The sequence below is a fragment of the Homo sapiens genome, chromosome 8 (genome assembly GCF_000001405.40).
Source record: "Homo sapiens chromosome 8, GRCh38.p14 Primary Assembly".
Taxonomy (NCBI): domain Eukaryota; kingdom Metazoa; phylum Chordata; class Mammalia; order Primates; family Hominidae; genus Homo; species Homo sapiens.
Genome location: NC_000008.11, coordinates 84,396,430 through 84,422,793, shown reverse-complemented (window position 1 = coordinate 84,422,793; position 26,364 = coordinate 84,396,430). Strand labels below are relative to the sequence as shown.

The window sequence follows — 26,364 nt, the reverse complement described above, 5'->3', positions numbered from 1 at the left end:
GAAGGCAGAAATAAAGATGTTCTTTGAAACCAATGAGAACAAAGACACAACATACCAGAATCTCTGGGACGCATTCAAAGCAGTGTGTAGAGGGAAATTTATAGCACTAAATGCCCACAAGAGAAAGCAGGAAAGATCCAAAACTGACACCCTAACATCACAATTAAAAGAACTAGAAAAGCAAGAGCAAACACATTCAAAAGCTAGCAGAAGGCAAGAAATAACTAAAATCAGAGCAGAACTGAAGGAAATAGAGACACAAAAAACCCTTCAAAAAATCAATGAATCCAGGAGCTGGTTTTTTGAAAGGATCAACAAAATTGATAGACCGCTAGCAAGACTAATAAAGAAAAAAAGAGAGAAGAATCAAATAGACATAATAAAAAATGATAAAGGGGATATCACCACCGATCCCACAGAAATACAAACTACCATCAGAGAATACTACAAACACCTCTACGCAAATAAACTAGAAAATCTAGAAGAAATGGATAAATTCCTCGACACATACACTCTCCCAAGACTAAACCAGGAAGAAGTTGAATCTCTGAATAGACCAATAACAGGAGCTGAAATTGTGGCAATAATCAATAGTTTACCAACCAAAAAGAGTCCAGGACCAGATAGATTCACAGCCGAATTCTACCAGAGGTACAAGGAGGAACTGGTACCATTCCTTCTGAAACTATTCCAATCAATAGAAAAAGAGGGAATCCTCCCTAACTCATTTTATGAGGCCAGCATCATCCTGATACCAAAGTCAGGCAGAGACACAACCAAAAAAGAGAATTTTAGACCAATAACCTTGATGAAAATTGATGCAAAAATCCTCAATAAAATACTGGCAAACCGAATCCAGCAGCACATCAAAAAGCTTATCCACCATGATCAAGTGGGCTTCATCCCTGGGATGCAAGGCTGGTTCAATATACGCAAATCAAGAAATGTAATCCAGCATATAAACAGAGCCAAAGACAAAAACCACATGATTATCTCAATAGATGCAGAAAAAGCCTTTGACAAAATTCAACAACCCATCATGCTAAAAACTCTCAATAAATTAGGTATTGATGGGACGTATTTCAAAATAATAAGAGCTATCTATGACAAACCCACAGCCAATATCATACTGAATGGGCAAAACCTGGAAGCATTCCCTTTGAAAACTGGCACAAGACAGGGATGCCCTCTCTCACCACTCCTATTCAACATAGTGTTGGAAGTTCTGGCCAGGGCAATTAGGCAGGAGAAGGAAATAAAGGGTATTCAATTAGGAAAAGAGGAAGTCAAATTGTCCCTGTTGGCAGATGACATGATTGTATATCTAGAAAACCCCATTGTCTCAGCCCAAAATCTCCTTAAGCTGATAAGCAACTTCAGCAAAGTCTCAGGATACAAAATCAATGTACAAAAATCACAAGCATTCTTATACACCAACAACAGACAAACAGAGAGCCAAATCATGAGTGAACTCCCATTCACAATTGCTTCAAAGAGAATAAAATACCTAGGAATCCAACTTACAAGGGATGTGAAGGACCTCTTCAAGGAGAACTACAAACCACTGCTCAAGGAAATAAAAGAGGATACAAACAAATGGAAGAACATTCCATGCTGATGGGTAGGAAGAATCAATATCGTGAAAATGGCCATACTGCCCAAGGTAATTTACAGATTCAATGCCATCCCCATCAAGCTACCAATGATTTTCTTCACAGAATTGGAAAAAACTACTTTAAAGTTCATATGGAACCAAAAAAGAGCCCGCATTGCCAAGTCAATCCTAAGCCAAAAGAACAAAGCTGGAGGCATCACACTACCTGACTTCAAACTATACTACAAGGCTACAGTAACCAAAACAGCATGGTACTGGTACCAAAACAGAGATATAGATCAATGGAACAGAACAGAGCCCTCAGAAATAACGCCGCATAACTACAACTATCTGATCTTTGACAAACCTGAGAAAAACAAGCAATGGGGAAAGGATTCCCTATTTAATAAATGGTGCTGGGAAAACTGGCTAGCCATATGTAGGAAGCTGAAAGTGGATCCCTCCCTTACACCTTATACAAAAATCAATTCAAGATGGATTAAAGATTTAAACGTTAGACCTAAAACCATAAAAACCCTAGAAGAAAACCTAGGCATTACCATTCAGGACATAGGCATGGGCAAGGACTTCATGTCTAAAACACCAAAAGCAATGGCAACAAAAGACAAAATTGACAAATGGGATCTAATTAAACTAAAGAGCTTCTGCACAGCAAAAGAAACTACCATCAGAGTGAACAGGCAACCTACAACATGGGAGAAAATTTTTGCAACCAACTCATCTGACATAGGGCTAATATCCAGAATCTACAATGAACTCAAACAAATGTACAAGAAAAAAACAAACAACGCCATCAAAAAGTGGGTGAAGGACATGAACAGACACTTCTCAAAAGAAGACATTTATGCAGCCAAAAAACACATGAAAAAATGCTCATCATCAGTGGCCATCAGAGAAATGCAAATCAAAACCACTATGAAATACCATCTCACACCAGTTAGAATGGCAATCATTAAAAAGTCAGGAAACAACAGGTGCTGGAGAGGATGTGGAGAAATAGGAACACTTTTACACTGTTGCTGGGACTGTAAACTAGTTCAACCATTGTGGAAGTCAGTGTGGCGATTCCTCAGGGATCTAGAACTACAAATACCATTTGACCCAGCCATCCCATTACTGGGTATATACCCAAAGGACTATAAATCATGCTGCTATAAAGACACATGCACACGTATGTTTATTGCGGCATTATTCACAATAGCAAAGACTTGGAACCAACCCAAATGTCCAACAATGATAGACTGGATTAAGAAAATGTGGCACATATACAACATGGAATACTATGCAGCCATAAAAAATGATGAGTTAATGTCCTTTGTAGGGACATGGATGAAATTGGAAATCATCATTCTCAGTAAACTATCGCAAGAACAAAAAACAAATACCGCATATTCTCACTCATAGGTGGGAATTGAACAATGAGATCACATGGACACAGGAAGGGGAATATCACACTCTGGGGACTGTTGTGGGGTGGGGGGAGGGGGGAGGGACAGCATTGGGAGATATACCTAATGCTAGATGACGAGTTAGTGGGTGTAGTGCACCAGCATGGCACATGTATACATATGTAACTAACCTGCACAATGTGCACATGTACCCTAAAACTTAATGTATAATAATAAAAAAAAAAAAGTTAAGACCATAAATTTGTAGTAGCAGTTCTAATAGACTTCTCAGGATAGTACTAGCCAAGTAAATTATTAGATGAAGACAAGTTTTAGGGATAATGGTACAGATGCAGAATGGGATAAAGACAATGAAAATGTTGGAAAGGCAGTGAGTTCCAGGCAGAACAAAGGAAACAAAGGAAGAAAACCCAGAAGTGATGGCAGACAGTGAGTTTGCTAAAGCAGAATGGGATTGACAGACGTTAATACCAAAAGGCTCAAGAAAACTTAAGGAGCCCTCATGATGTCATAAATTATGGTGAACAAGAAGACTATGAGCCACAACGCAAAGTCCTCTGTGAATATACAAGGAGACCACAAGAATAAATTAATAGTAGCATGGCTGGAGGGAATAGACACAGAGAAGGGGTTGGACTACCAATCTGGGAAGTGGCAAGGGAAACTGAGTTGCTCACAATATCCTCTTTTCACCTTATCTTTTTTACATACGGAGTTGGAGAGAAATCATATCTGCAACAAGAGAGGGATGTAAAACAATTCTATTAAAGAGAGAACTAGGCTGCAGTTGGGACAAGAAAATGTTGGGAATTATTAGGGAGATACTTAGACAATGCATGGGAGGCCTACTTAAGATGGAAATGAGGTTTCAGGTGATAAAATGGAAAAAAAAATCCAAAGAAATGGCAGGCCTCTAAGCAAGTTAAGGAGAACATCTGATGCAAGAGGTTGGTTTGTGGAGGGAGACAAACAGTGAATCAACTGAACTTAAATAAACTAATGGTATTGCATGTAAAAGTTGAAGACTAAGTTCAAGGTCCCAGTGAATATAAATTTTAATGACGTACAGAGTTTGGAGTTTATAATCTCTAAACTGCATTCTAACAATGGAATGATTCTTTTCTTTTTTTCTGGGGGAGAGGGTGAGGGTATTTCATGTAAGGACGAAGAGAAGACAACATAGCCATTAAAATATAAAACTGTACCTAGAGTGTTGTTCATGTCTTAAATAAAGAAAGGAGTAAATAAAACAGCATGGCTACTCATTTTAGGGTCCTTCTCAGTTTTTTCATCCTCCTGCTAAACTAATTCTAATCAAATAATGGCGGTTCTAGACATCATGCTAATTAAATTGTCATAGACATTTGTAATACTAGCTAACATTCACTGAGTACCTAATATGTGCCAGGGTATTCGTATGAATTATTTCATTTTATTTCCATAAGAAGTCTATATGGAAGGCTTTATAATAACTTCCAATTTACAGATGAGGAAGCAGATATATAGACTAGTTAAATACTGTGCCCAAGGTTCCGTAATCAGTAACTATCAGAGTCACAATTAAAACCCAACCATTCTGACCCCATATTTTTTGGCACCGTGCTGTTTGAGGATGCCCTATGTCAGACACTACAGATCTTGTCAAACACAAATACTTAGGAACTTAAATCAGAATATAAAGAGGTCAATTACTTGTGTGTTGGAAAAAACCAGGTGATGCATTACAGATTGAATTTGTATTTCCACATTTTCTTTAAACTGATCATCTCCTGTTGGGCAACTTAGTAGGGGAAAAGATCTCTATGTCTTCAAGTAGGTGCTTTTACTGAAAAAGAAAGAAGAACCAAATAGAGAAGCAAAATTATTTTAATTTCCGAAAGCTGAAGCCTTGAGACTATCAATAGAATTTTTAAAATACTTGCTAGGATTTTAATATGTTCCCATTTGAGAAGTGCTAGGAGTTTTCTGGAATTGGAGGGAAAATAAAGAATTGGAGAGGGGAAAAATATAAATATGAAAATGGCATGTCTCTTTGTCTTGTCTCCTCGTCCCTGATATAACACTAGGATATTTAAGTGTGGGAAATCTAGCCTAAAAGGAATCCACACTGTTGATATCTGAAGACAGTTATTTCCCATTGTAGTGAGAATAAAAAGAGAGGTGACTACAGTCCCAGCAATGAGGAATATGCAAAACTCAGTTGACCTAGGAAGGTACATCATAAAAGAAAAAAAAAAAGACTATAGGGCTGGATATCTTTCTTTGCTTTTATGATACTGTGTCAACCTCCCAAATTTAGTTGCAACCCAATAGAAAAGTAGTGTCACCATGAAAAGAAAATAAGCCATGCTCTTTTCCCCAGTATCTTCTTTCCCTCTGCCAAATACTGAGGATTCTGATTCAGACTTTCTAATTTCTGTCCTCCAAGGAGGATCCTACCTTGCCCAAGAGATTCTTGTGTCTTAGGACATGAAGAATCAGAAAAAACTGACTCTCTTGTTATATTTTTAAACGTTAAGAAAAGGTCACTAGTCTCCAACAGTATCTTAAAAATACTATGTTTTTCTTCTCCTAACCAGAGCACATATTATAGCTGCTCTCATGCCCTCTCAAAGCACCCCCTCAAATTCATCTTGTTTCCTCTTTTTTTTTTTTTGTTCTAATTCCTGCCTATTTAACTACTACATACCCATTGCCTGGCACTGCACCATGCATAAGGTAGACATTCCATAATATTGGTTACTTGCACTTTGAAAAGTAACAAGAAAAGGAAGGAAAAAAGGAAGAAAATAAGAGAAGTTAAAATGTTGGTTGGTTATTTGGTAGCTTATTTTCCCTATACCAAGACATTATACAAAACAAAAAGTAAGAAGGCTACACTTTCCTATGTATGCATTTACCAGAATTCCTTCCTTTGCAACTTTAAGAATTGGGTAAAGTATATTCTTTTATTCTAGATAGGCTAACCATAAGATTTACTATCCAAACTAGAATGCATTTAGGAGTAAAAAGGTCACTATTAATATTTTGTTTTCTGAAAGAGGGCTGGACCTGTTGTTAATACTGAGACTGCCATAATAAGACAAATTAGGAAAATGGCCATTCTAATTTTTGATGACCTTCAGGAAAACAACTCTTACAATCCAATATATTATTTCTGCAAAGGTAAAAGTAATCCCACATTTACACATGAAAAAAAAAGGTTTCAAATACTTGTAAAAATGTCACTTTCCAGTTTCCCTCTTTTTCTTTCAGTTCCTTGAAAGTGCCAACACCTTTTCATTTATTCTTCTCTCTTCATATGGGAACTATTATTCAGCCTCTTTGCCTACTTACTACTTCCTAAATGCCACCTTCTCAGGAGAGCCTTACCTGCCCCTGGGCCTTTATCCACCTCCACTCCTGCACAGACTAGTTTAGATCCCTGGATTATTGCACTCACCACAGTAAATTTTATGATTATTTGGATGATATTTAATGTCTGTCTTGACCAGTAGCTATTAGGTGTGATGAGGACCAGAATGAGGTATACTTTTGTCTACTTTTGTATTCCCAGCTTTTAGAATTGCATCTGGTACAGAGTGAATGCTCAATAAATGTTGAATGAATGAAAAATAGTGAATAAATAAAACCAGTGGATAAATGAAGGATTCACTTTCATTGCCAAAGGGTGTCAATTGGGTAAGAGATCTCAAAATGCCACATAAACAGTAAATTTATATGATACAAACATATCTACAAGCTATTTGTACCTTGTCTTTAAATGATCCTTCGTCACTCACTTTCACTGGCCTTACAAAGTTCTGAAATCAGACATGAATCTGCGACTTGACAATGAAAAGATACTCATATCTGAGAGCACTGACAAGTGTGTTAGAGATTTTTAACACCTATTGAATGAAGAGGATTTGTGTTAATATTAGAGAATCAGTGCATTTCCTATAAAAACAATACAAATACAGAAACACTAAGTACATAAATATACACATATACAGTTATACATACATATTAATTAAGTACTATTGTAACGGCAATTCAGCAATTTGCTTTTGTTACTTTTTTGTTACATATACCAGAAAAAAAAACCAGTGTCTCCTAGATGTTATCTGTGCATAAGGCAATAGTGCCCCTAGGGCACAGAGGAGTTTAATAATTCCGTCAGAATTGCAGAATGGGCTGGTAGATACTGGCAAGGAAACTGGTGACCAGATTTCTGGATGAACAAGAGTGTCGGCCGGGCGCGGTGGCTCACGCCTGTAATACCAGCACTTTGGGAGGCCGAGGCGGGTCGATCATAAGGTCAGGAGTTCCAGACCAGCATGGCCAACATGGCAAAACCCCATCTCTACTAAAGATACAAAAATTAGCCAAGCGTCGTGGCAGGCGCCTGTAATCCCAGCTACTAGGGAGGCTGAGGCAGGAGAATCGCTTGAACCTGGGAGGTGGAGGTTGCAGTGAGCCGAGCCGAGATTGCACCGTTGCACTCCAACCTGGGTGACAGAATGAGCCTCCATCAAAAAAACAAAACAAAACAAAACAAAACAAAAAAACAAAAAAAAAAAAACGAGTGTCTGCAAGTAGAATAACTTCCATTAAAAAAAAAAAAAAACAGAGGCAGAATATTAGAGTGAAGGGAGTATTAAGTGCCTTAATGCTAATTTCAATTCTACTAGTAAGAAATCACAATAACCCTTATGTCCTTTCTATAAGACTAAATGCATGAGTAGGTATTTTCAGCCTTGACAGACCATTCCAGTGACCTATGACTTTAAAAATTACAATTCAGGACCCACCCCGAACTTGGATTTTAGAGCTGCCAGTGGTAGAAGTCTGACCTTGGGTCTCAAGTGCTTCCGATGATTACCACAAACATTCAGGGGTAAGAACCACTGAAGAAGCAGAACATTCATCTCTCTTGGCCCATGTTTCCTGAGCTGTGTAAGTGGGTTGCTGTGTAGAACTCTAAGGTCTCTTTTAGAACAATATTTTTATAATTGAGGAAAAATAAAGTATAAGCACCAGCAAGCCATGGGAAAATGCAAACAGACACACAAACAAATAAAAACAATTCATTTCCCGATATTAGGAAATTTCATCTGCAGCTACAAAATGGCACTCAGCATTTTTTGAAAAACTAAATTTTTAATTACTAAGCAAATGTTGATAGTTGAATCTTAAATATATTTGCACGTCAAATATGCTCGAAATCATTTATCTTAGAAGTAATCAAATCATAGTGGAAGGCACAAAAACAGGATGATCTAACCATATTATACACCAGTTAAAATATTTACTTTACCTCTTCTTTAATTCCCTTCACCTGCCATTATAGAAACCAAAAATGTTTAGTCATTTGAAGCACAGATGCAAGTAAACTTTCTGAGTCACAGTCACATGTGGTCAAAAGAGGCTATTTTTAGCATAGTTTATAAAATGCACATTAATGAAATGTGGATAAAATGAAGAATGACATCAGGAGGAGGCCAAAGTGAACAAAAATGGCAAAGTATTGTTAATTTTCTTTGCTACAAAAAATAATTATTGATAGAGTAATTTATATTAACAGATATGAAAATGGTTTTCATGAAAATTTATAAATGTTTAAAATGTCATCAACATGGGATTAAAAAAATCATAAATCTCATCAGGGACAAAATGGAAGGAATTTTTTCAGACCATTTTTCTGCTGAACACAATAGAAGTTTAGCTTAAATATGCACTTTAATTACCCCATATTTTGATTCCTTGATTTCAACAAAAAGTTCTGAGGTTACTTAGAAAAAAACCTAGCATACTCTAATGAGATTTTCAGTAAATAGAAAAACCCTGTCTTATATGCCATACAAAGACAAATAAGGTTCAAAGTAATAAATTATATCATCCAGCAAAATCTATGCTACAGATTTAATGATGACGACAATGATTTGGTTCATGACTCAAAATAGGAAATAAGCTGATATTGATTTCACTAAGAACTGCCTATCGTAACACTAATTCTATATGGAAATCATTTGTAAAATGAAGATTATCTATTCAATTAATAGAAAATGTTATGGATTTATCCTTTACTTTGAGTGAATCATAAGGCAGTAGTTATAATAACTTGGCACTTTTATGGATGTTCTAATTGAAAATTAATTTTGACAACTTTATAAGGTTTATACAAAGAATATATTTCAAAGAATCATTAAATAAAAGGCAAAGTGAGATAATTTTTTTCATATGCAAAACATATAGTGAAAGATGTTCACATGTCCAAATAAGTTACACAGCTCATCCCAAACCATATCTAAATATATAGAATTTGGGTATCAGTAAAATAACAGTGTCTAATAACAAGAGGGATTTTTTTTTTCTCCATCAGTAAACATACAATGTATAGCTGGACTAACACCTACTTTTTCCCAAATAACCAAAATGTTTCCAAATAAAAATACATAATAGTCATTTATAATTCTTTGGAATTAGTAAAAATGTTGTATAAAATATAAAAATAATCAAAAAATATTAAAGCTTTAAAAAGTTCCTAGATCTTTAAAAATTTCCAGAACTTGATCACAGTGGTCTTAAAATTACCATTTTTATTTGAGACCTCTAAATTATTTAGTCAAATATTTTGAAGAACCAGAAAAAAATTAATTATGTATATAATTATATAGTTTTTAATTAGTAATATATAAAATTAATATTATAAAATAGCAGTGAGAAAGGGATGATAGTAAGCATTTAATTAGGGAAAACTTTTATTCTTTTTTCTTCTTCTCTGTTGCATTCTTTCTCTTTGCTTCCTCCTCTTACCTTTCCTTTTAGTGAATTTGCTTTCTATCTTCCACAAACTGTAGGACTTTGCTGTCATAACCACTTGTTAAGGTCACCAATTACCAGGTGCACCTTGGAATTTCAGGTCAAAATGTTTTCACTTTAAACTATATGTCTCTACTTGAGCCCAGTTCCTTGTGTCATTAACTGTTAGAGGATCGTAGTTACCTGGGTCCTTAATGACAAAGCTCTTTCTGCATATCTAAATCTATTTCCTCTCTAAGGAGCCAAGAAAATATCTACCTAATTGCTTTTAGCATAAAAGTTATTTGAGAGAGATTGCAGATTAGTTTTATCATTAATATAGAGGCTGAAATTAAAGGAAAAGGAATCTATAATTAGGAAGCTATTAAAGGAATAAAAATGGAACCTCAGTATCCCAACTAGTAGTATCATCTTACAATGTGAATGCCTTTGGGATTCACAATTCACTTTTGATACAAATGAAACCCAGAGGGAAATCTCTTCAGACCAAAAAATGTCCTGCTTTCCTGAATAAGGGACAATCTATAATCCATATGAGAAAGAGAATCTAAGTGAACTTTCACGTAAAGAACATAGATAACACTTTGGCTTTTATCATAGTCAGAAAATATGTTATTACTACTATCAGAAAAAATAAAATAAAATTGTAATGAGCACCTACAAACTCTAAGAATCTCAGCTTGCCTGATTTTCCAAATTTGATAACATCCCCTCTGATAACCTGACACTTCCTCATAGCTTTTAATATAATTTGTACTTTGATTTGTATCTTTGTATTTTTTTTTGCTGTCTAGACAATAAGTAATATAATTATCATTGTCCTTTAAAATCACACATCACAATTAGTTTTCAATAGGGTTTCAATAGATATTTGCTGAAATAATGAATTTTAGACACAGTGAAAATTAATAACAGCTAGTATTGTTAGTACTTAGCATGTGGCAGGCAGTTCTACGCATTTTGTGTATATTATCATACTTCTTCTTCTTTACTGTACTAGAGATAATTTTTTTAAATAACTTACCAAATGAGGATACAGAGGCAAGTTTAAGTCTTTGACAATTGTCATACAGCTTGTAAGTGGCAAAGGTGACATTTAAGCCTAGGAAGTCTGGCCCCTGCCCCTTTGCTCCTAACCACTATTTTATTCAGTAATTTTTGGATATTAGAAGACATATGACGATTTTCAGCACTGGCAAAATATATTCAAAGGCAAGCAATTTTACTGAAATAAAAGTATTTAAACAAATAATCAATGGTTGAAACTTTGCCCACTATTCACTAGGGGAAAAGATAGATAATAGTTATTATTAAGTGCCTGATATTTTGTTAAGTGCTTTACATAGATTATCACATTTAATCCTCAGGATGGTGAGATGATGAAGATGTAACTTGAAGACAGATGTTTGGTTGAAAACTGTTGAAGGGAACTTCTTGTTCTTCTAAAGAACAAAACCAGGAAAAAAAAAAGTAAAAAGAATTCAATGTTCCCCATATTGATGGATTTGAGATCATCTGGTTAAAGGGAGAGGGAATAGAAGCAGTATGATGACACTCAGAACTGTTAAATTTTAGAAAAGTCACTGAAAGAACTGTAAAATGGAGTCACTAGAAAATGAAAACAAGGAAATAAAATACTGTAAAACACCAACTGAGAGCTAATCTGAAGTGTCATGGGTAGTGGACCCCATCAGCAAGATGTTATTATTTTGTCCAGTGATGTTCTGTAGTTTAGGCATGAAAGTGGAGAAAGCAGACATTGGGGTAGATATTCTTAATGATAATACCATGGGAAAAAATAAAGTCCAAAATATTTGATTTGCTCATTCTTAAAAAAAGATATATTTTTGAGAAAATTTGTTCTGATTATTACCACATTCCCATTGATATGGTGTTTATTACATTTTTAAGCAGATTTTGAAAAAAGTTTGCATTGTCATATTTCCTAAATCAAGATTATTTATTGATCTTGGGTGCTTTTGAAAGAAGAAATATTTCCTACTTTCAGTGAAAAGGCCATTAACTTACTAAAATAAGATTCATCCTAGAGTTTATTTCCTTTCTCATTTTGTATGTATGTCATAAACCAGGAATTCAAGCAGAATATAAACTCTTATTCACTCTTAATAGTATGCATTTTTAAAATTCCAACTTAAATTTGGGGTAATATTTTCCTTAACAGGTAAGAAAATAACAGTGATAATATACATGCAACTTTATCAAACATAGAAAATGTTTCGTATTAAATCTTTTTTTGTTTTATTTAATCTACAAAATGCTCAAAAATATAATGTCAATATATATTAAATGGGGTCATTCTTCACTGCAATGTGATCTTAATTAGTTTTTAAAAACGACATATTGTAAACAATAATGTCCTGATATTTTAACTGGTTTATAATTTACCAGTTTATATTTGGAAAAAATTATCCAAAAATTATAAGGCAGAGAAAAGAGGGATTTTTTTAAAGAAATAACATACTGATGAAAGCTTACGCTTATTATGTCTAATACATGACAGATACACTCTGATAATTGTTTTATATTAATTAAATCATTTACTTATCTGTTCTGGATTATGTAGTTATTACCATAATGAATCCCATTTTACAGATGAGAACAGTGATGAATAGGCTGGTTAGAAATGTAAGCCTTGTTTCAAAAGCCATAGAGTTTTTGTATCAGAATTTGAACCTAGGCAATCCGGTTCTAGAGTACAGATTCCTAGCATCATTTAACACTGCTTCTCCTACATTACTGTGAACAAAAAAGAAAGCATATATACACTTAAATTTAGGAGTAGTTAAATTATCAGAGTATTTTTCATGTTTAACAATTAAAAACCTACATCTGACATGTAAGCACTAAAAGAATACTGTGAGAATTTCAAGAGAAAATAATGTTTATCTCTAAAAATACCATAGAAGTTGTGTTTCAGCTCATTATATTTACCAGAGACCATATTAATAGAAGATTTTAAGATTCTGTGGCTGGGCCATTTTTGGGTTTAGTTCCATTCTCGGTCAAATAATGACATGTCATTTGTTCTACAACATCATAGAGCCATTAGAATATAAAAGAGTTTTCTGGATTGTAAGATGAAATATTACTTTAAAACTTCATGCAACACATACTTAGTTCTTAATAGGTTTAGAAAAAGTGGATTTGTGCTCTAAAAGAATAAATAGAGATACCTGGTAATGTGTTAAGATTTAATTATGGTCTTTAGGATCTTAGTTGAAGTACGTATTGTTTTAGAAGACAACAATCTTTGGTCCAGTACAAGAGGAGTATACGATGGAAAAAGTCTCATATCAATCATTCTTCATTAAAAAATGTCATAAACTTAAGTGAGAAACATTAATATACAGAAATTATTATTTCTTTTCACTGGGCCTCAGATTTCTTCGTCTATAAAGTGCAATTATATTAAATGAGCTCTATGATAGCTCTCCTCTGAAATTCTATTATTGGAAAACTTAAAATCAGGTGGACCAACAGAATAATTATTTGTCCCTGTTTTCCAGAAGCTGTCCCCTGTTGTTCTGGAGTGATTATTAAAAGCATCCCTTTTCTCTCAATAGTGTCCAGTTCAGGTAATTAATTATACACATTGCAAAGAATCAGAGATATATTAGTGTTAATTTTCACTTATTAATATTTATCCTAGAGCACTCAATACAATATTTGAGTAATTTTGAATACATAATAGATAAATTAACATATACATGAGTAAATGAGAACTCAATGAAATAAAATCACCTGCTCTGATAAACATTTAGCATACTTTCAAACGTTAAAATATTTGATATTAGTTTATGCAAGATTATGCAGGATCTAGTAATGAGTGGACATGGCTTCTAATCTTAGTCATTTACCCACTTGGGGAGGTCAAAATTACATTTTCTTTCCTCGTCACATAATTAAGAGATAATTATCCCACTACTTTTTCCATATCAGGATGACTAAAGTTAATTATAGCATTGTGCTAAGCATTTAAGGGTGATACTATTAAAAATATTTATTTAAAAGGTTAATGCACAGTTTCTTTTTTTTTCTTACATAGTTACATGTAGTGCTGCCATATTTAGCAAACAGAATATGGAAAATCTAGTTAAATTTAAATTTCAGGTAAATACAGAATAATATTTTAGTGCTAGTATGTTCTACATATAGCATTGTTGTTCTACATTTTATCTGATAACCCTGCCTCCATGGCATTCTTATTCTTAGATTTCTTGACTGATGACTACTAGTGATGAACTGATGAACAAGCGTCCATGGTTGTCTCCTCCATGCAATCATTCAGGAACCCAGCTGTTGAAGATGGAAGAGCCCCAACCCACCTGGGTTCTTGAATGACTACATAGAGAGCGTCCATGGACACTTATTCATCCACCCCATGCTGCTATATGAAATAAGAAAGAAGCTTCTGTTGTTTTGTGCCATTACAAGGATTTGGGGTCTATTAGTACAGCAGCTGGCCTTGGCTAAATTATTGTCATCATCATTAAATCTGTAGCATAGATTTTGCTGGATGACATATTTTATTACTTTGAACCTTATTTGTCTTTGTATGGCATATATGACAGAGTTTTTCTATTTACTGAAAATCTCATTAGAGTATGCTAGGTTTTTTTCTAAGTAACCTCAGAACTTTTTGTTGAAATCAAGGAATCAAAATATGGGGTAATTAAAGTGCATATTTAAGCTAAACTTCTATTGTGTTCAACAGAAAAATGGTCTGAAAAAATTCCTTCCATTTTGTCCCTGATGAGATTTATGATTTTCTTTTAATCCCATGTGGATGACATTTTAAACATTTATAAATTTTATAAAATGTATCATTACAGATATAATTAAAATAAATAAGTTTAAAAAAACTTTTTTTTAAGTAAAATAAGGTTTCATAGCGTTCTTATTCTTGGTTTATTAGGCTAATGACTAAAATGTTTTGAGATATGTTATAGTGGTTACGAATAATCTCTAGAGACAGCCCTGGATTTATATTCTAGTCTTGCCACTTGCCTTGGACAATTTGTTTACATTTACAAAACCTCAATTTCTTCATCTATATAATGATAATTAGAGTGTTCCTTAATTAATAGGGTTGCTATGAAAATTGAGATGATGCTAAGCCTGTTTCATAGAAGCAATCTATGATTTTAGCTAATATTATTATTCTGATGAAAAATGTATTGACATATTTTCTTAGTATCAGTTTTGCAAACTGAACCAATTTTAAAAGCTTTTCATTTATAATTTCTTTTTCTTGTAAAAGTTGATTCTGCATTTAGTGAATTTGTTTTCCTCAAACCCATCTATCTAACAACAGAATATAGGTAAATATATTTATTTGTTACAGAGACATAGGGAAATCTATTACCTCAAGAGATATGTAAAGTATATGGGGTTCTGAACATGTTCAGTTTTGAGCCAAGGTATTTTCACTACCTTTGCAAATTATTTATCTTAACACTGTAGATACTGATAATTGTTGATAATTGAATAAGAATGATAGACACATGGGGATTCCTTCATTCACTCATTGTCTCTACTTTTGCATGTTTGAAATCTGTCATAATGAAAAGTTTTTTCAAAATAAGATACTGTTCACTGCTTTCATATTCTCTTAAATATGGAACTATTCCCCATGATGAGGAAAGGCAGGAAGCTATGTAGTGGTGTGGTCTTCCCAACACAAGTATTGAGTACTTATCATTTGCCAGGCACTCTTTTGCGTGCCATTTATGCAGTGCCTGATTTCACACTCAAACTAAACCCATGCTGTATCATCATAATTACTTCCATTCCATAGATATGGAAATGACAGATGGAGACTTTGAATAGCTCATTCAAGACCACACAGAATATATTCTTGTGTGTGTGTGTGTGTTTGTGTGTGTGTGTGTGTGTGAGTGTGTGTGTGTATATATATATATATATAGAGAGAGAGAGAGAGAGGGAGAGAGAGAGAGAACAAACAAAAATATCAGCAATGTTCCTGTGTTGCTATGCAAGGTTTCTTTCTATGTTTCCAGATGCTTCAAGGTCCATTAAAATTATTCTGCCTATGTCTGCACAGGCACTCCTTTGAAGATTATATTTGAGAATTAGAAGTTTTGACAGTGTAATCACCCATTATCTCTTTTCAATGCCAAAAGGACAAATTCCAGCAAATACTGAATGCATGAGGTTCCTTAATGCTTCCAGAAAGTATTGGTATTTTATTCATTTCAACATGCCTTAGACTCCTAGGGCCCATGGTAGTCGAAATGTTTCCTGACTACATAATTTAAATATTCAGTTTTGATGTTCCTAGGTAAGAGGTTGTATGCGTATGTTTGTGTAAATGGTTTATTCAAAATGGTTATATCAAAAGAAAATGCCCAGAAGTGCCACCTCTTATTTTCCACTTACCCAGCACTTTCTGATCCACAATATATTTGAATATATTTACCTAATATTATATTCCCAAATGTTAGGTAGTAAACCAAGCAGAAGATAGGGTTTTTTCTCCATTTATTTTTCATCACTACTCCCATATGGCTTCATATTGCCAAACTGATTTTCAAAGTGGGTGTACAACCCAAGGTCACAAGAGGCAATATAACTGGACTTCCTAAATCCTGAAAATTCATAATCTCTCTGGAAAGAGAATAAGCACTTAGATATGCATACATATATAACACTTAGATATATTACATACAGAATTCTGGCTATTGAACATTTACACTACTTGTATAGCCATTTAAGAACATGAAAAAAGTAATGCTCTGAAGATGTCTTAGGAAATGTAAGCATACATATAACAGTTCCTTACTTAAATAAAATACTATGCTCCATATTTAGAATAAAAATAGGTGGTACAGTTAACTTTTTGTTATTCTTTTTTTTTTTTTTTACTTTAGGTATGAAATGGTACAGAATTACCTTGCTTTTTCATATTTAACAAAAGTCTGCAATTGTCTTGCATTGTTTTTCTAGATTATGGTAATTATCCATTAAGAATGAAAATATTGGGAGGCTGAGGCAGGCGAATGGCGTGAACCCGGGAGGCAGAGCTTGCAGTGAGCCGAGATCGTGCCACTGAGCCTGGGTGACAGAGCAAGACTCTGTCTCAAAAAAAAAAAAAAAAAAAAGAATGAAAATATCTAGATTATTAAACTGATTAAAAATTAAGCATGAATTTATTTAGACACATCCTTATCTACAGTTTTATGTAATATCCTACAAAAATATATTAGTGTATTTGAAGAAACAATTCTATTCTCTTGTTAAAACTTGAAAATCAAAGTCATCTTTAAAACTGTAACTCTTGAGAGGGTATATGTGTCCAGGAATTTATCAATTTCTTCTAGATTTTCTACTTTATTTGCATAGAGGTGTTTACAGTATTCTCTGATAGTAGTTTGTATTTCTGTGGGATCAGTGGTGATATCCCCTTTATCATTTTTTATTGTGTCTATATGATTCTTCTCTCTTTTCTTCTTTATTAGTCTGGCTAGTGGTCTATCTATTTTGTTAATCTTTTCAAAAAAACACCTCCTGGATTCATTGATTTTTGAAGGGTTTTTCATGTCTCTGGATCTTTCAGTAATGCTCTGATCTTAATTATTTCTTGTCTTCTGCTAGCTTTTGAATTTGTTTACTCTTGCTTCTCTAGTTCTTTCAATTGTTATGGTGTGGATTTTAGATCTCTCCTGCTTTCTACTGTGGGCATTTAGTGCTATAAATTTCCCTCTAAACACTGCTTTAGCTGTGTTCCAGAGATACTGGTATGTTGTGTCTTTATTATCATTGGTTTCAAGAAACATCTTTATTTCTGCCTTAATTTCATTATTTACCCAGTAGTCATTCAGGAGCAGGTTGTTCAGTTTCCATGTAGTTGTGTGGTTTTCAGTGAGTTTCTTAATCCTGAGTTCTAATTTGCTTACCCTGTGGTCTGACAGTCTGTTTGTTATGATCTTCACTCTTTTGCATTTGATGAAGAATGTTTTATTTCCAATTATGTGGTCAATTATAGAATAAGTGTTATGTTGTGCTGAGAAGAATGTATGGTCTGTTGATTTGGGGTGGAGAGTTCTATAAATGTCTATTAGGTCCAATAACAAGTTCTGAAATTGAAGCAGTAATTAATAGCTGACCAGCCAAAAAAAACTTCTGGACCAGACAGATTCACAGCTGAATTCTACCAGAGGTACCAAGAGGAGCTGGTACCATTACTTTTAAAAATTTCCAAGCAAAAGAAAAAGAGAGACTCCTCCCTAACTCTTTTTATGAGGCTAGCATCATCCTGATACCAAAGCCTGGCAGGGACACAACAAAAAAAGAAAATTTCAGGCCAACATCCCTGATGAACATCGATGGAAAAATTCCTCAATAAAATACTGGCAAACCAAATCCAGCAGCACATCAAAAAGCTTATCCACCACAATCAAGTAGGCTTCATCCCTGGGATGCAAGGCTGGTTCAACATCGCAAATCAATAAATGTAATCCATCACATAAACAGAACCAATGACAAAAACCACATGATTATCTCAATAGATGCAGAAAAGGCCTTCAACAAAATTCAACACTCCTTCATGCTAAAAACACTCAATAAACTAGGTATTGATGGAACATATCTCAAAATAATAAGAGCTATTTATGACAAACCCACAGCCAATATCATACTCAATGGGCAAAAGCTGGAAGCATTCCCTTTGAAAACCAGCAGAAGACAAGGATGCCCTCTCTCACGACTCCTATTTAACATAATATTGTAAGTTCTGGCCAGGGCAATCAGGCAAGAGAAAGAAATAAACGTATTCAAATAGGAAGAGAGGAAGTCAAATTATCTGTTTGGAGATGACATGTTTGTATATTTAGAAACCCTATTGTCTCAGACCCAAAACTCCTTAAGCTGATAAGCAACTTCAGCAAAGTCTCAGGATACAAAATCAATGTGCAAAAATCACAAGCATTCCTATACACCAATAATAGACAGAGAGCCAAATAATGAGTGAACTCCCATTCACAATTGCTACAAAGAGAATAAAATACCTAGGAATACAACTTACAGTGGATATAAAGGACCTCTTCAAGGAGAACTACAAACCACTGCTCAAGGAAATAAGAGATGACACAAATGAAAAAACATTCCATGCTCATGGATAGGAAGAATCAATATTGTGAAAATGCCATACTGCCAAAAGTAATTCATAGATTCAATGATATTCCCATCAAGCTATCACTGACTTTCTTCACAGAATTAGAAAAAAACTACTTTAAATTTCATATGGAACCAAAAAAGAGCCCATATAGCCAAGATGATCCTAAGCAAAAAGAACAAAGCTGGAGGCATCACGCTACCTGACTTCAAACTATACTACAAGGCTACAGTAACCAAAACAGCATGGTACTGGTTAAAAAAAAAAAAAAAAAAAAAAAAAAAAAACAGAGATATAGACCAATGGAACAGAACAGAGCCCTCAGAAATAACACCACTCATCTACAACCATCTAATCTTTGGCAAAACTGACGAAAACAAGCAATGGGGTAAGTATTCCCTATTTAACAAATTATGTTGGAAAAACTGGCTAGCCATATGTAGAAAACTGAAACTGGACCCTTTCCTTACACCTTATCCAAAAATTAACTTGAGATGGATTAAAGATTAAATGTAATACGTAAAACCATAAAAACCCTAGAAGAAAACCTAGGCAATACCATTCAGGACGTAGGAATGGGCAAAGACTTCATAACTAAAACATCAAAAGCAATTGCAACAAAAGCAAAAATTGACAAATGGGATCTAGTTAAACTAAAGAGCTTCTGCACAGCAAAAAGAAACTATCAGAATGAATAGGCAACCCACAGAATGGGAGAAAATTTTTGCAATCTATCCATCTGATAAAGGGCTAATATCCAGAATCTACCAGGAACTTAAACAAATTTATAAGAAGAAAACAAACAACCCCATCAAAAAGTGGGCAAAAGATATCAACAGACACTTCTCAAATGAAGACATTTATGCAGCCAAAAGACACATGAAAAAATGTTCATCATCACTGGCCATCAGAGAAATGCAAATCAAAACTACAATGAGATACCATCTCACACCAGTTAGAATGGCGATCATTAAAAAGTCAGGAAACAACAGGTGCTGGAGAGGATATGGAGAAATAGGAACATTTTTACAAACTACAACAACTGTAACTCAAGGGAAATATGAATCTCTTTGAGATGTGCTGAAAATCAGAAACAGCATGTAATTTCTAGAGGTAAGGATTGGAAATGGTCTTGGAAGGGTCTATTTTCACTACTGACATATGGCAGGAGTCAAGGATTTTCTATTTCTTAACACTAAGATCATAGTGTTAAGAATATGATCTAGAATAGTGTTGATTCCTTCATTGAGTTTGAACTAGGACAGTGGGCCAGTGATACCCAGTCTTGTTTCAGTTAACTGGTAGGTAGTTGATCATGTAGACGGTCTTTAATTTTTTTAAGAGAAGCTCCGAAAGCTGCCTTTATTTCTAGAACACCATTATTATCATCAGGTAGTCTATATATTAAAATCTAAGTTATGGATTTGAGACACAATCAGCAAGAAAGGATATTAAAAAACAAGTTTCATGCTGTACTCTCAATGAGTTCTTATAGTGAATTAACTACAAATAAGTAAAGTTAGGTTGAGCTATGCAGCATGTTTATCTTAGGTAGCATATTTGCTATGGTGATGTTTTTGTGTATAAGGATGACTCACTATTATTTCAGTATTTATCATCTATTTCTCTGTAGGAACAATAATTTAAATAAAACAAAACAAAAGTGATATGTCTTGGCCCTTTTACACAACTCACACGGAAAGCAGAATGGAAAAGCCAGTACCATTTTTCTCAATTTGCCATTGCATTTGGAGATTATTCAAGCTTGTGTTCAAGAGATTATACAAGGGCCATCAAAAAGTAGGGAGACCTCTGAGTTTATAGTAAAGTGAAAGGGTTACAAGTGATTTCACAAAGGAGATGAGATCTGAACTAAGCCTTCAAGAGCAAACAAGATTTTTGACAGGGTAACTAGAAAGGTGCTTGAGGCAGAGAGCATGACCAAATAAATCCAGAAATTAAAGTCCTTATCAGAAAAAAAAAAAAAGTTTTACTGCAATGTCTGTCAGGCTATAGAGTCATAACCCATTTCAATATGTCTCAAAAACAGTGCTATTGATCTTTTACATAAGAATATTCTCTGATGTACTGCATGATGTTTAACAATATCCCTAACTGGTTACTAAATGCTAATAGTAAGGTCTTTTTTTTTTTTTTTTTTTTTTTTTTTTTTTGAGACAGAGTCTAGCTCTTTCGCCCAGGCTGGACTGCAGTGGCGCTATCTGGGCTCACTGCAAGCTCCGCCTCCCGGGTTCATGCCATTCTCCTGCCTCAGCCTCCCGAGTAGCTGGGATTACAGGCGCCCGCCACCGCGCCCGGCTAATTTTTTGTATTTTTAGTAGAGACGGGGTTTCACCGTGTTAAGCCAAGATGGTCTCGATCTCCTGACCTCGTGATCCGCCCGCCTCGGCCTCCCAAAGTGCTGGGATTACAGGTGTGAGCCATCGCGCCTGGCCTCTTACATATTTTCAAATGTTCCATAATGGTGAGTAAACCTTCCCCACACTGAAACATTGAGTTAAGATTCAATGAAGTTCATTTTTTAATAGAAAGTAACAGAATAGAAGAAAAGATTAAAAAAAAGAAGAAGAAAAGAAAGCACATTTCAGTAGAAAGAATGATCAGATAATGGACACCCTTGACATAACTGACTGTTGAGCTGCTGAATTTTAGAGCTGACAGGAATATGATTAATCAGTCTCAGTGATTTTCAAACTTTGTATTTTATTAGCATATCCATTGGGGGAAAAAGCTTATAAATCCCACACACAGCTTCATGGAAATGAACAACCAGAAAACTTAAGCAACTTAACAAATTAAGATGCCTGCCATAACTAAGTTGATGAGTCATTGGACATTTTGAGAAGGAATACCAATTAAACACGCCAAGAAAAAAATGTATTCATTCATAACAAAATGTATTTCCTTATTAAATAATAAAACACATGACAACACTTTTCCTACTTATCTTTGTTACTTGACACATGAACATGAAAATCTCTTACCTGGACTTCATGATCCAAATAAACTAATGGTGCCTACACAGCTTTCCCATAGCTTTCCTTAGAGGATTTAAACATCTCTTTCGCCCTTAAATTTTCATGTCCAAAATTTACATGCACTTCATCCCAAGTCCCTTGAAAAATGACTCATGTCTGCCTTACACTATGGCTGGCACAATCACCTACAAAATATAAAGCCCGATTTAGAAATATGGCTCCAGTTCCCTTCCTTAGCCACCATCACTCTCATATTCATGGCAATAAGACACTGAGCACTACAGGCTAAATTTTAATACATTTTGTTGGCCCCTTCAATTAATGTGCCCTCTTCAGAACTCAACTTTTTCTTTGACTTTTGAGTCTGAACATTCTTGCAATTCCAGCACAGGCTGAGCATCCCAAGTCTGAAAATCTGCACTCCAAATGCTCCAAAATCCGAAAATTTTTGAGTGTTGACATTACACCACACTTGGAAAATTCCACACCTGACCTCAAGTGACAGGTCACACATAATTATTAATAACACTGTATAAGATTACCCTCAGACTCTGTGTATAACGTGTATACGAAACATAAATAAATTTTATGTTTAGAATTGGGTTCCATCCCTAACATATTTCATTGTGTATATACAAATATTCCAAAATCCAAAAAATGACACACTTCTGGTCCCAAGCATTTTTTTTTTCTTTTTGAGACAGAGTCTCACTCTGTCACCCATGCTGAAGTGCAGTGGCACGATCTTGACTCACTGCAACCTCTGCCTCTGGGTTCGAGTGACTCTCCTGCCTCAGCCTCCTAAGTAGCTGTGGTTACAGGCATGTGCCGCCATGCCTGGCAAATTTTTCTATTTTTAGTAGAGACAGGGTTTCGCCATGTTGGCCAGGCTGGTCTGGAACTCCTGGCCTCAAGTGATCCACCCACGGCATGAGCCACCACACCCGGCCCCCAAGCATTTTGGATAAAAGATTCTCAACCTGTGTCTCCTTCAGACTTAGAAGAGAATTCCTTCTTCCCTTCTAACAACAGGTAAACTACATGACTGGGCTAATGGGTAATCCTTTACCATGGAAAGGGTTATAAGACATTGTGATTACAATGTAATTACAATGTAATTCTGTTCTCTGCATGTTTCCATTGCCTGATAAAATCTGAATAAGATTGAAATAAATAAAGGAATAATTATGCATGTAAATGAACGGTTTTGAAAGCAGTGTGGCTTTGTGGTGAGTTAAAAACCAGAGGGCTGAAACCTGAATATAGCCCACAAATAAATTATTGGTTGCTGGATTTGTAGTTTAAATATAAATGCATGTAAATTGTTGACAATTTGTTACAGTATCCACCATTTCATATTGCATTATACTAGGCAACTTCATAAATCTATGTTCCTGTACATTTTGAGTTTGCACTTATTGGTAGTCTTTAAGGACATGGATTCTGATGTCCTACAGAGGGATTACAAGACTGTGCTCTCCATGTAACTGTCTAGCTATAAAATGGGGGCACTAACAGAAACTATTTCTAAGACTCATTGTGAGCATTAACTTAGGTGATGCATGTAAAGTACTTAGCACATGTTCTATCATATAGCAATTAATAAATGTTTTTTATTATTCTTTAGTAATGAAACTCCTGCTGCTTGTGATATTGTGTTAGAGCAGGAAACGGGAATGAAATGCTTTGCCTGAAAGCAGTACTACCTGGGCATAATTTCATAAACATAATTTTATCTAGGCAACTTTAATAGAAACTGACATTAGGAAAGTGAATTTTAGTAGCAGACAAAACTATAATAAGATTTCTTTGCATAGTTCTTTTTTTTTTTTTTTTTTTGAGACAGAGTCTCACTCTATTGCCCAGGCTGAAGTGCAGTGGTGAGATCTTGGCTCACTGCCACCTCTGCCTCCTGGATTCAAGCAATTCTCCTGTCTCAGCCTCCCGAGTAGCTGGGACTACGGGCGCATGCCAACACACCTGGCTAATTTTTGTATTTTTAGTAGAGATGGGGTTTCACCATATTGGTCAAGCTGGTCTCAAACTCCTGACCTCAGGTGATCGACCCGCTTTGGCCTTCCAAAGTGATGGGATTACAGGTGGGAGCCACTGCACTGGCCTGGATTGGTTTTTAAATGTGGTACATTCATTGAACCAATTCTTAAGTTCCAAAATAAGGTAGTTTTCAGACATATGTTCCATGTATCATTTTTCCAGGTGTGTGACTCCATGAGCTAAGTGTTTAAAAGATTAAAATTATGACACAATATCTAGAAAAGATATTACTACTGTGAAAGAAGAAAGGGTCTTACGTTGAGTTTTATAAAAATGAAATATTTTCTAGGTCCTCTTATCTTTCACAATATTTATTGAAAGAAGAAACTTTCAAAACTTACAATTTCGCTTTATTCAAGAGACATGTATAGTCTAAAACTGTTTTGTGGTTTGGTATACAATATATGAAAAAAAGAGATTAATAATGTATTGGCAAGGATAAAAAAAAAAGAAACTTTACCTTGTAAAACCAAAAAATGTTCTGTTAACTGAGAAGTGGATGGAATGTTCAAAGTGCTTGCGGATCAAGCTCTCTGTAAAATCTGATTTATACTGCAGGCATCATAATGCCTGCCTACTTCAGAATGAATAATAGTACCAAGCTGAAGTCGCAACAGCAGCCCTGGAACATTAACAGCAAATGTCTTCCATCTTAATAGCTGAGTCTGTGCCATTCTCTACACTTAAAATTCTGAGCATTTAACACTTCTTGTTGCATCTAAATCCAGATACAAAAACCTTCAAATCAAACTATTTACCTCAAGTGAAATTTGTCTTGAATAATTCATAAGAAGAAAGAAAGATGGCAGTGAAGAAAGCCAAAGGGAGTTTTAATGAACTCTAGAGTTTCAAAACTAATGGCAAAGAAGCTATTACAGCTTTTCCCTTCACCTTATAAAAGGAAGTATGGGTCTCTCTTAAAATTAAATACTCCCAGAAAACAGGAGGTGCAGTACTGAGTTCAGCTTTTTGCTTGTCTGCGACTGATGCAAGAACATGATCACACAGATTACCAGGAGGGGCTCTTTGAATGTGTGACAGTTGAAGAAACACCTAAATTTTCATGTTCAAATGTCTTATTCTTAAGTCATTTCATAAAATTCTAGTGGTATCTGGGGATTCAGTTAAAAGGAAGCTATGAAAAATCAATAAATGTGGTGGTTCTGGCCTAGGTTACACGAGTACCTGCTTTTGTATTGCTTTGCTACCTTCAAAGACTTAGTTGGTAATAATGGGCAGTTACCAGCTAGCCTACCTTTGTTAAAAGGTTTCACACTCTGCTCTAATAGCTAATCATCTCTGCAGGGATTTTTCTGGGGAAAAAACCTGGCATTTTGTTAAATTGTCACAACAGAGGCCATTTTACAATGTTATAATTGTGTAGGTTTGTATTAATTTCCTATTGTTTCTGTAACTAATTATCATACATTTAAATTACTTAAAATACCACAAAATTATTTTCTACAGTTCTGGAGGTCAGAAGTCTGAAAGGAGTCTTACAGGACTAAAATTAAGGTATAGGTAGTGGTACACTCCTTCTGGGAGAAATTTTTGTTTCCTGGCCTTTTCCAGATCCCAGAAGGTGCCCTTGGCTGGAGCCCTCCCTCTATTTTCAAGGCACATCACCCCGGCCTCTGCCACTGTTGTCCATTTCCTTCTGTCTTTGATCCTCTGGCTTGCCTCTTACTAGGACTGTATAATTACATTGGGCCCAACTGGGTAATCCAAGATTGTCTTCCCTTCTCAAGATCGTTGACCACATTAGCTAAGTCCCTATTGCCATGTAACTTAGACAAGTTCTGGGGATTAGGAAGTTGATATTTATGGGGCGGGGGGGATATTCTATGAATAATAAGATTATAATAACCACATTAATTGCTTACTAGAAGAATATTTACATATTAGATGTTAGGCCCTTGATTATAAAACAGAAACAAAAGACAATCCTGATCATTTTAATGTGACTTTTTTTTTCAAATATTTTCTAAAACTATATCTCACACAACCTTAAAAGCTTACTGAAAAACTTTAACAATTTATAAATTTCAGAGTTGCTAATCTCTATTAATTAAAAATAGGTGGACATTACTAATATAGGTAAGACCTAAGTATTTATATCAAAGGAATTTTCATTAATTTTCTTTAATTAACTATAATTAACAATAATGTATTATCTTCTTTAAAATGGTTTCTGTGTCTGTCATTTTTCCTTCTAGTCCACAGGTGATTATATACCCAGTGTCTGGAACATGAACAAGGGTTCTTTAATGTTTATTGAATGAATGAATGAGTGAATAAATGAAACAATTTCATTTTGTAAAAGTCTAC

At 34.8% G+C, this 26,364-nt stretch overlaps 1 protein-coding gene across 55 annotated transcripts in view; it reads right to left on the bottom strand.

Annotated features, from left to right (window-relative positions):
* RALYL (RALY RNA binding protein like) overlaps window positions 1-26,364 on the bottom strand; it is a 739,058-nt gene that overhangs the window by 499,051 nt on the left and 213,643 nt on the right. For 2 of the 55 annotated variants that reach the window (NM_001354308.2, XM_024447065.2), the window contains exons 1-2: window positions 6,777-7,310; window positions 4,717-4,849 (exon numbers count right to left, since the gene is read on the bottom strand). The exons of the other annotated variants lie outside the window; for them this stretch is intronic. The gene's annotated coding sequence lies outside the window, so the exon portion shown is untranslated. Of the gene's footprint in view, window positions 1-4,716; window positions 4,850-6,776; window positions 7,311-26,364 lie in introns of those variants that run through there. 55 annotated transcript variants of the gene reach the window in all.